At 35.8% G+C, this 11,856-nt stretch overlaps 1 long non-coding RNA gene across 2 annotated transcripts in view; it reads left to right on the forward strand.

The window, feature by feature from the left end:
- LOC105375826 (uncharacterized) overlaps positions 1 to 6,382 on the forward strand; it is a 60,415-nt gene extending 54,033 nt beyond the window's left edge. For both annotated transcript variants that reach the window (NR_188094.1, NR_188095.1), the window contains 3 exons: positions 2,413 to 2,525; positions 5,615 to 5,695; positions 6,033 to 6,382. This is a non-coding gene — a long non-coding RNA (uncharacterized LOC105375826). The remainder of the gene's footprint in view (positions 1 to 2,412; positions 2,526 to 5,614; positions 5,696 to 6,032) is intronic.
- Positions 6,383 to 11,856: the final 5,474 nt, after the last annotated feature.

The raw sequence follows: 11,856 nt of genomic DNA on the forward strand, positions 1-11,856 counted from the left end.
CAAAAAAGGTTGCTTTGGTAGCAAGCAACAACCATAGTTTTCATAGTCATCTTCAAATGAGACAAGATATAAATATTCTTAATATTTTTAAGATACTAAGTTATCTCACAGAAAGTTACTTTATCTTCATAGCACTTTACCAGGATTATCCAAAAGAAATCAGGAGTATTTGGTGAAGTTTTTTCTATGCTTACTTGGTGGGAGAACTCCTTTACTTTTAGTAAGTGATATCATAATCGCTGACATGTCTTTGCAAATGCATGCTTTTTAAACAATTTTCTCTATTCTATTTTTAAAAATTATTTTAAACTTCTTATTGTAATACTTTCTCTATTCACGCACGTAACATTTTTTATTTAGGAAACAGGCATGAATGCCACTTTTGTCCTTTTGCTTTTTATAAAAATAACATCTTTATGTCTTTTTTTTGGCCGAATTCGTGAGTGAAGTTTTCTCTTCATAACAATAATGTGCTCCACTGCCTTAGAATTCCATGACATCTAAGAAATATCATGTATTTATAGCAGTTGCAGTAATAATGATACCTACATGTAAGTGGTATCTTCAGTAAGTCACGTACTGCAGAGAGCACCCTGCGTATGCTATATAAAACAATCTTTAAAGGTCACTCTTGTTATCCTATTTTACAGACAGAGAAACAAACCTCATAAGTAACTTATGCAAGGTTTTGAAGATTGTAAATTGCAAAGCCAAAGGTTTATCTCAGCCTCCCCTTCAATAGACATCCCCATTTCACACCTTAACATTTGGCAATATTTTTACATTCTTTGTCTTTTTTCTTTTCCATAAAGTGTTTTGAGAGATAGGAAGTGCATTGACTAATAAAGAAACTGAGGTTCTGTGAAGTTCAGTGATTTTCTCAAGTGAAAAATGCTAGAGAGGTAGTTAAAAACCTGTGTGCTAGTAACCATTGACCTTTCTCCTTAAAGACAGAAGTGAGAAGTTTGAATTACAATTGTCCTTACGTGCCATGCCTTGCATTCTCTCTTTTTTTTTTATTATTGTTATACTTTAAGTTTTAGGGTACATGTGCACAACACTCAGATTCGTTACATATGTATGCATGTGCCATGTTGGTGGGCTGCACCCATTAACTCGTCATTTAGCATTAGGTATATCTCCTAATGCTATCCCTCCCCCCTCCCCCTACCCCACAACAGTCCCTGGTGTGTGATGTTCCCCTTCCTGTGTCCATGTGTTCTCATTGTTCAGTTCCTACCTATGAGTGAGAACATGCGGTGTTTGGTTTTTTGTCCTTGTGATAGTTTGCTGAGAATGGCGGTTTCCAGCTTCATCCACGTCCGTACAAAGGACATAAACTCATCATTTTTTATGGCTGCATAGTATTCCATGGTGTGTATGTGCCACATTTTCTTAATCCAGTCTATCATTGTTGGACATTTAGGTTGGTTCCAAGTCTTTGCTATTGTGAATAGTGCCACTATAAACATACATGTGCATGTGTCTTTATAGCAGCATGATTTATAATCCTTTGGGTATATACCCAGTAATGGGATGGCTGGGTCAAATGGTATTTCTAGTTCTAGATCCCTGAGGAATAGCCACACTGACTTCCACAATGGTTGAACTAGTTTACAGTCCCACGAACAGTGTAAAAGTGTTCCTATTTCTCCACATCCTCTCCAGCACCTGTTGTTTCCTGACTTTTTAATGATCGCCATTCTAACTGGTGTGAGATGGCATCTCATTGTGGTTTTGATTCGCATTTCTCTGATGGCCAGTGATGGCGAGCATTTTTTCATGTGTTTTTTGGCTGCATAAATGTCTTCTTTTGAGAAGTGTCTGTTCATATCCTTTGCCCACTTGTTGATGGGGTTGTTTGTTTTCTTCTTGTAAATTTGTTTGAGTTGATTGTAGATTCTGGATATTAGCCCTTTGTCAGATGAATAGGTTGCAAAAATTTTGTCCCATTCTGTAGGTTGCCTGTTCACTCTGATGGTAGTTTCTTTTGCTGTGCAGAAGCTCTTTAGTTTAATTAGATCCCATTTGTCAATTTTGGCTTTTGTTGCCATTGCTTTTGGTATTTTAGACATGAAGTCCTTGCCCATGCCTATGTCCTGAATGGTATTGCCTAGGTTTTCTTCTAGGGTTTTTATGGTTTTAGGTCTAACATTTAAGTCTTTAATACATCTTGAATTAATTTTTGTATAAGGTGTAAGGAAGGGATCCAGTTTCAGCTTTCTAGGTATGCCTAGCCAGTTTTCCCAGCACCGTCTGTCGCCCAGGCTGGAGTGCAGTGGCGCGATCTCGGCTCACTGCAAGCTCCGCCTCCCGGCTTCACACCATTCTCCTGCCTCAGCCTCACGAGTACCTGGGACTACAGGTGCCCGCCACCAGGCCCGGCTAATTTTTTTGTATTTTTTTTTTTAGCAGAAACGGGGTTTCACCATGTTAGCCAAGATGGTCTCGATCTCCTGACCTCGCGATCCGCCCGCCTTGGCCTCCCAAAGTGCTGGGATTATGCATTCTCTCTTTACATCACAGTAAGTATTTTCAAAACCCATTCATTCATTCATTGAATACTATTTTCATCTAAAATGCCATGAACTATGGCAGCCACTAGACTTACAATGAATCACATAGCCTTGTTTCAAAGGGTGCATATTCTAGTAGGCATGAAAAGTATACAAACAGCTATAAATAAAGGGTTTTGTGTTGGAGGTGTACACAGAACACTGTGAACACAATGCGTGCACTTTACTTTGATTGAGTCAACTCTGTACTACATGGTTATACTTTTATCTTATCCTGTAGTGTGTCAGCTAAGGAAGTAACAATCCGCAGAAAATGATAACAACTGTCATTACATATGCACCTAACAAAAGAACTCCAAAATGCATGAAGGAAAATTTGACAAAAATGAAGGGAGAAATAAACAATTAAAAAATTAATAGTTGGAGAGTTCAGTATCCCACTTTAAATAATGAATCAAATTATAGGAAGATAATGGAGAAATTAAAGATTTAAACAATACCATTTAAAACCAACTAAACTTACTAACTTACTGTTTAAAACCAACTAAACCTAATAGACATCTAGAGAACCCTCCACCAAATAATCCCAGAATATGCATTCTTATCAAGTGCACATGCAACATTCTTCAGGGAAGGCCATATTATATTTATGTTATAAAATAAATCTCAGTAAGCTTAAAATGATAAAAATAACGTTAACTATCTTCTCCAACTAAAAATAAATATAATAGGAAATCAATAACTGCAAAAAATGGGAAACTCACAAATATGCAGAAATTAAAAGTATACTCTAAGAAACCAATGCTTACAAATAAATATAATAGGAAATCAACGACAGCAAAATATGGGAAACTCACAAATATGTGGAAATTAAAAGTATACTCTAAGCAACCAATGGTCCAGAGAGGAAATCAAAAGGGAAATTAGAAAATACTTTGAGGTAAGTAAAAATGAAGACACACATATCAAGCCATACCAAAACTTATGTGGTCCTGCTAAGGCAGTGCTTAAAGAAAAAGAAATTATACTTAAATGCCTAATTAAGAAAGGAGAAAAACTTAAATCAACAACCTAACTTTTTAGCTAAGACCCTGAACAAATAAGAGAAAACTAAATCTAAAACAGAATAAAAAGAAGTATAAGTATTAAAGTGGAAATTAATGAAATGGAGAACAGAATAACTAGCTGAGAAAAATCAATGAAAACAAAGTGGACTTTTTGAAAAGAGCAATGAAATTTACAAATTTTTAGCTGCATGAACCAAAAACAAAGGAGGGAAGTTTAAAATTACTAGGATCAGAAATAAAACAGAATGCATTACTCCTAACCTTACATAAATAAAAAGAATTATAAAGGAATACTATGATTAATTGTATGAGTCAAGAAGAGATAGACAATATGAAAAGATGTATAACAAATAGAGATTGAATTAGTAATTAGAAAAAAAGAAACTACCCATATAGGCTTTTCATAGGGAAAGCCCATTTCTGGACAGCTTCATCAGTGAATTCCATGCCAAATGATTAAGCAAGAAGTAGCACCAATCTACCAACTCCTTCTCCTGGAAAAAAGAGGAAGAGAACACTTCCTAACTCATTCTGAGGCCAGTAGTACCATGAGACAAAAACTCTGACAAGATACAAACACTATAGAGTATATATTTTTTATGAATATGGATGCAAAAGTCCACAACAGAATACAATTGACTCTTGAATAATGTAAGGACTAGGGGTGCTGATTCACTGTGCAGTTGAAAATTCACATATAACATTTGACACCCCCAAAACCTAACCACTAGTAGCCTATTGCTAATCAGAAGCTTACAAATAACAGTCAGTTAACACATATTTTTTATGTTATATGTATTATATACCGTATTTCTTACAATGAAGTAAGTGAGATAAAGGAAAATGTCATTAAGAACTCATAAGGAAGAGAGAATACACTTACAGTATTCTACTGTATTTATCAATAGTGTAAGTTTATGTAGTCTGTTTACTAGACAAGTTGTCTGTCTGAAATGGCAGGTAGTTACAGCTACAGACCTGGATCTACAGTACACATCAAACAGTTGAACTTTTTATTTGAATGCCATGACTTTTCTCTCCTTCTTGGAAGCACTTCCAGTATCACTAGTGACACTTTGTATGGGTCCCATGGTGTTAACGTTTATACTATTGCACTAAACATGATGAAAAATACTGGACAACCAGGAAAGATCACTTTTTACTTTGATGTGCAATTTCCTAGACAAAATGAACTGCTCACACAGAGATGATTAGAGTCGCAAGGTGTTTTAAGCAGATACAACACTCAAGCTTACCACGATATCAACAGGAAGTGGCTAAGAAATGATTACAGTGGTACAGTATGTTCATTGTATGCAGTAATGATTTAATACTGCATATTTACATTTGTTTACATCTCTCTTGACTGCGAATGGCATTATGTCTTATCTGTAAGCATTTGTGTGCAAAAGTCTTAATAAATGTTAACATTTTATAATAGATTTGTGTATATTTTATAGTAGTAAATCATAAAATAGGCTAATATCTACATATATTTTATGCATTCATGACATATCTAAATTTTTCTTTTTTTTTTTTTTGAAATTTCTAGGCTACATGGTTCAAGAGCAGGTTTTTGTAAATTGTCACAAAATTCCAAAAATGTCCAATGTATTTATTGAAACAAATCTGTGTATAAAAAATCTTAGAAAAATCTTATTCTAATTTCTAACATCTGAAAATTAATGCAATGCACAATAGAATAACAAACAAAAATCACTTGACTTCTTTAATTGCAGAAAAAAGATTTGACAAAACCTAATATAATTTTATGACAAAAATATTGAACAAATTAGGAATAGAAGGAAACATCTTCAACCTGATAAAGGGTATCTGTGAAAATCCTGCTGCTAACATTATACCTAATGATGAAAGATGGAATATTTTTCTTCTAAGTTTAAAATGACAAAGATGTTCATTCTAGCCACTTTTATTCAACATTTTATTATGTTTGTTTCTCCAGAGAATTAGGCAAGAAAAAGAAAGAAATTTTTCTATATTGGAAATAATTAAAATTATCTCTATTTTCAGATGACCATGACCTTGGATATGGAGTCCACTCAAAAGTAATCTGAACTAATAAACAAATTCTGCAAGGTTGAAGAATACAAGGTCAATAAAAATAATTAATTATATTTCTATGTGATACAATAAACAATCTTAAAATTAAGAAAAAAAATTCATTTACAGTAGAATAACAAAAAAATACTTAAAAATAAGTTTAATCGTGAGATACAAATTGGTACCCTGAAAACTACAAAACATTCCTGAACAATATTAAAGGTCTAAATAAATGGAAAATTGTCTTGTGTTTATGGATCAGAAGACTTAACAATTTGAAGATGGCAATACTTCCCAAATTGACACACAGATTTAATGCAATACCTGTCAGAAAACTAGCTGACTTTTGTGAAAATTGAAAACTGATTGTATTATTTTGGAATTGCAGGAGATATGGAATCACCAAAGAATACTGACACAGAAGAACCAAGTAGGAGAGTGTGCAATTCCCAGTCTCATATCTCATTACAAAACCAAACTAAACAAGGCATTGGCACAAGAATAGACATACAGATCAATGGAACAGAACTGAGACCCCAGAAATAAAACCAAGTGGTCAGCTGACTTTTTGAAAGCTTGCCAAGACCATCAAATGGGGAAAAATTTTTTTAATATACGTTGCAGGGATAATTGGATATAAACATCCAAAAGAATGAACTTGGATGCTTATCTTGCACCATATGCAAAAATAACTGAAAATGAATTCAAGGCTATAACTATTAACTCAGAAAAAAAAAATGAGCTGCATTTTCATGATCCTAGGTTTGGCAAAATACTCTTAAGTATAACTCCAAAAAAAAACCCACCAAAAAACCTAGATAAGTTAAATTTCATCAAAATTAAACATTTTGGGCATCAAAGGGCATCATTAATAAAATGAATAGACTTACTACAGATTGTGAGAAAATGCTTGCATATCATACGTCTGGTAAGCAAATTGTTTCTAGAGTAATATATTAAAAAACTCTTACAACTCAATAAGAAGAAGACAAATAACACAAACTAAAAACTGGCAAAGGATCTGAATAGATCTTTCTCCCAGCAAGATCTACAAATAGCTGATAATCACATGAAGAGGTGCCTGGCATCATTAGTCATCAGGAAAATGCAAATCAAAAAACCACAGCTAGGTACTACGTCACACCCACTAGGATGGCCAGAACCCAAATGACAGATAGTAGGTATCAGAAAAGATATGGAGAAAGTGGAACCCTTATACACTGTTGGCAGAATTTGAAATGATACATCCACCTTGTAAAACAGTTTGGACATTCCTCAAAGGATTAAACATAGAGTTACCATATGATCCAAAAACCCTACTCTTTGATACATACACAAGAAGAATGGAAACGTATATTCACACAAAAGCTGAAACATGAATGTTTATAGCAGCATTATTTATATAGCCAAAAGATAGAAACGACCTAATTCCTGCCTGCGGTTGATGCTGATAAACAAAATGTCCTAAATGTCCCCAACTGCAGTGATGGTTGCATAGTTCATGAATATACCAAAATCAATTGACTTGTTAACTTTCTAGTATGTGAGTCATATTTTAATGAACTGTTAAGAAAATTTAAAAACATAATGAGTAGGAGAGACCTTCATGTTAAGAAGATGAGAGGCTGCCAGGCGCGGTGGCTCACGCCTGTAATCTCAGCACTTTGGGAGGCTGAGAGGAGCAGATTGCCTGAGCTCAGGAGTTTGAGAACAGCCTGTGCAACATGGTAAAACCCTGTCTGTATTTAAATACAAAAAATGAGCCAGGCATGGTGGCCAGTACCTGTAATCCCAGCTACTCAGGAGGCTGAGGCACGAGAATTGCTTGAACCTGGGAGGCAGAGGTTGCAGTGAGCGGAGAACATGCCACTGCACCCCAGCCTGGGCAACAAAACAAAACTCTGTCTCAGAAAAAAAAAGAAAAAGAAAAACAAACAAACAAACAAAAAACAAAAGAAGAAGAACAAGAATGGGAGAGCCTTGATGTGGTTGGAGCAACTGAGGTGCAGAGTAGGGAGTGTGAGTGTGGGGAGGTGAACAGGTGGCAGCAGGTCCCCAGAGGCCTTGTGTCTGTGGTAAGGAGTTTAGAGTTTATTCTGAGAAGGAAGGGGTAAAATGCAAACATTTTTAAAAAGGGAGTGACTTAATCAGCTTGATGTGTTATGACAGACTCAACATGGAGAAGGATGGTTTGATAAGTGGCCAGGTTGGAGGCAGGAACACTGAAGAAGTAATCCAGGAGAAAAGTGATGAGGGCTAAATATCAGCAAGGAGACGGAGAAGAATGGTGTAGTTATAGGAGATTTAAGGTATGAAATGATCAGGCCCTGTTGATGAGGTCAGGAATAAGGAAGACTTGAAAACCTGGGGCTCTGAGGACTCCTGCAGGTGACAAGCTGAGTGGCGACTCCCTTCCCCAAGGGTGTGGCAGGGGAGCTGGAGGTCATCTGCAACCCCCACTTGGCTCTTTGGCTGGATCTAGAAAGCAAATTGACACCAGACATATTAAGAAGACAAAAGTATACCTAGATTTCATTAGTTTTACATGTACATTATGCTCTTCATAAGAGAGTAAGGTCTGAAGAAGTGACCAAAGCAAGATGTTTTTATACATTTTAGACAAAGAACAATACATTTGAGAAGAAATGAAAGAACAAAGAGAATCTGGCTGGGGCAGTGAATTTCTAGGGGAGTTGACTAGGAGATATATGGAAGTGGGGTGTAAAACTAGCGGAAGATAAGAGTTATTTGGATAAGTATAATTATTCGGATCCATTGCAGCCACCCAGTTCTCAGTCTCTGGTGATAAGGGCTGTTTCCTTGCCCTAATATGGTGAGGGCACCCCTCCCAGAGGAATCTTTATGGCTTGCTGCATGTAGGAAGAACAGTGAGCTCACCCTATCTGAAACTACAATTTCTCTAATTTTTTCAGCTTGAAATAATCAATATGCCAATTACGCACATTTTGGGATGGTAAGTTCTTCACTTCTTCAGTGTACTTGTTTGCTCCCTTAGGGTCCAGGTGCATTCTCTTCCATGCCTTAATTGCTGACACTACTTGGGAGAATTTATTCTTCAGTTTGTAGCTCATCTGTGAAGGGAATTGAAGAAGGAGTTGCAGTAACATTTAGGTAAGAAAGTGGATGGAAATTGGCGACAGGCATTATATTGAGTAACTGCTTACAAGTCAGTAAGAAACAACACTGCATACTGGCAGCCTTAAGTAACTTTCTGGCAAAGAAAAGAATCAGTGATTCTAGTTATACAGCTTTATTGGAAAATGTTTTTAGAAAACTGTAATCAGAAAAGTACATTCCTTTAAGTTAGTTTTTCAAACCTTTTTTAAGGCAGCTCGCAATACTTTAAAAATTAACATACGTATTTATTTTGAATAGCAGCTTATACATTGATTTTGCATACATATTTCAATTAGTAATTCAAAGAAAACCTTTGATTTGAGCATACTCAAATAATAATAATATTATTATTACTATCATGTTCCAGAATAGGAAATTGAGATTCAGAGATATGAAGAGACTTCAGCTACTGAGTGGTGAAGTCAGATTTGAAGTTCATGACTTCTAGCCAGAAACTCCATGTGGTCACACTATTTAGGTGATATTTTCCTGTCCCTACCCATCCTATGTATTTTTATTAGCCAAATGTTTATTCTTTTAAAATAAATAACAATATCATAAATACAGGGTTGTGTTTGTCTTTAAAGTAATCTAAGAGTCGCTTAAATCTATAGCCTCAGAAACTTCTTTATTGTTGCCCTATGAAAGGCAATTTAACATCCTTTAGCTCACCATCATGTAGCTATGTTTTGTTTTCTTAGGAATGCTGTAATTAGGTCTATTGTTGGTATTACTTACTTTTCTCTGTCCACTTTCACTATGTAGGCAGAAAACTGAGCTCTTATAATGAGAAATAATTTCCCATGGAGATTAAGCTCCACAGTAGTTTTATAGATACTGAGTCGAGAATAGCATGTTTTACAGATTGAGGAATCAGGCAAGTGGGTAAAAGAGAGCTTTCTCTTTAACCAATAATCAGGATTTTGAAGATAAATAATGCTTTAAAGTTTGTATTGAAAACTCCTTATGAAGTTTCGTCTCAAGAGTGGGAGGGAGAGCTTTAGTATTGCATTGTGAAAGTCAAGAATTACAATTTATACCAAAATACAGATCATGATGGACTGATATAATGCAAAAGCAAGGGCAGCCAGTTTTCCAGCTGACAGATAGAGTTTCAAGTGGAGGCAAATTAGGCCTATAACATATTCCATCCTGAAATAGCCAGATGAGCCTTTCTTGGCCAATGATAAGTCTATGAGAACCCAGGCAATTATTTCCAGCCTGAAAAATGAGATGACTTTGAAATGTATGAGCCTCACTGGCTGCACATCTCATCCGTGCCCACGTCCTGTGCATTATTTTCCATCCGTGACCACGTCCTATGCATTATTTTCCTAAGGTTTTCTGGAAATTCTTTTTTCCAGTCTGTACCTTTCTGTTGTACTCTAGCTAGTGTCCAATTCTCTCCACTCTGATCTAATCTTCACATTACATTATTTACTTTTCCTGAACCTTAGAAAAGTCTCTCTTTCACCCACACTCCTTTCAATAACAAAATGTGGAATGCAAGACAGATACTTTATCTGTCCAAGTGACTTTGAGAAACACATTTAGCTCTCAAAGTTTCCGTTTCCTTATCTTTAAATTGAGGGAAAGACAGAGAAATCAGAAAATGCTGCAAAGTTAAAGGATGCAAATTTACACAATAATTTTCTAGATACTTGACATTTTGATTCATCATTTTCAAAACCGTTGAAATTAAAAATACAGTTTTTAGTGCATTCTTTTAAAAAAGAAATAATTGGCAACACCTGACCAATATCAAATACGGAGGTGATCTGTTTTGGCTTATTTCCTCTGTAACATTTAAGAGTGGCTTCTCCTGAGTTCACTGGCATCCCAAAACACGAGACACATTGATGGAGCTTCAATGTGAAATAATCATGTGGAAAATCTTTCCACCTTTCTTCCTTCTTGCTCCTTAAGACACTTCCATCTTGTGACCTGGAGTACTGCCAGTATAGTAATTGCATCTCAAATAGACTGTTAGTATGCAAGCATTGCAGATGTTTACCTGTGGTACAATAAGGAAGCTGAGGATATTAAAGCGATAATGTATGAGGAGCTGGTGACATTAGATGACTTGATGTATCTGTTAGAAAGAGGAAGGCACAGGCAAGAACATTCTTTATATCTACATTTCCTGCCAGGCTGTGAAACACTTCACTTAATGAGCATCTTTCCCTGCAGAGTAAAGTGACATCAATTAGAAAATAAGCTTATAATTGAACCTTTACCTTTGAAATAATGTATTTGCACAATTCCCAAAGGCAGCGTGTGCATAAACCCAAGGCTTGTTTTCCATCTAAACAACTTCTGATTTTACTCATTTACTAAAGAAAGGCAAGAAGCACCATCAAGGGTTAGGTATACAGGTTAAGTTTTGTTAGCTCATGAAGGTTGTATGTGATGGTTTTTCAAAGCTGTGTTTAGCAACTGCAAGAAGATCCCCTGGTTTTACATGCACAAAATAATTTATCTGAATCCTTCTATCCTCAGAGAGCAGCATCAATACTGTTGCCTATTTGGCATCAAATGGGATTTATGCAAATCCCTCATCTGTGCAGAAATCTAATGATTTTTAGTGTCAGTGTTTCTAATTCTTCGTGGTGTTCCTTATATTGGTTTCTGGAAAAATTACTGCCTAACCAACCATGCTTTTCTTCCAGATTGATTTTCTTCGCTAAGTAACCATGAAGTGTATCATATTGCAGTATAGCCTATTCTTAAGTGCATTGTTAGAGTGCCACTCTCCTGAATCACCCTGAATGCCTTGTTTTCAAAACTTCTAGGTTGTGACTATCGTACAAAAAAAAAAAAAAAAAAAATCATTCCTGTAGGATAGCTATCTCCTAACCTTGACAGCTTCTTAAGAACAGGCAGCACTGCAGCTGTTAGGGATTAGGAAGGTCATGGCCAGACTCACCCTCCATGTTGAACCTAAACAGTATTGTTGGGTAGGAATATCTTTCATCTCAAAGACGTTGTAACAAATGCAGATACGTTTAAAAAGGCTGTGAGGGACTTGAAGCTTTTTAATCTGCAAATTTGCAGAATGCTTTTTTTTTGGCGTT

Source organism: Homo sapiens, chromosome 8 (assembly GCF_000001405.40).
Source record: "Homo sapiens chromosome 8, GRCh38.p14 Primary Assembly".
NCBI classification, from domain to species: Eukaryota; Metazoa; Chordata; class Mammalia; order Primates; family Hominidae; genus Homo; species Homo sapiens.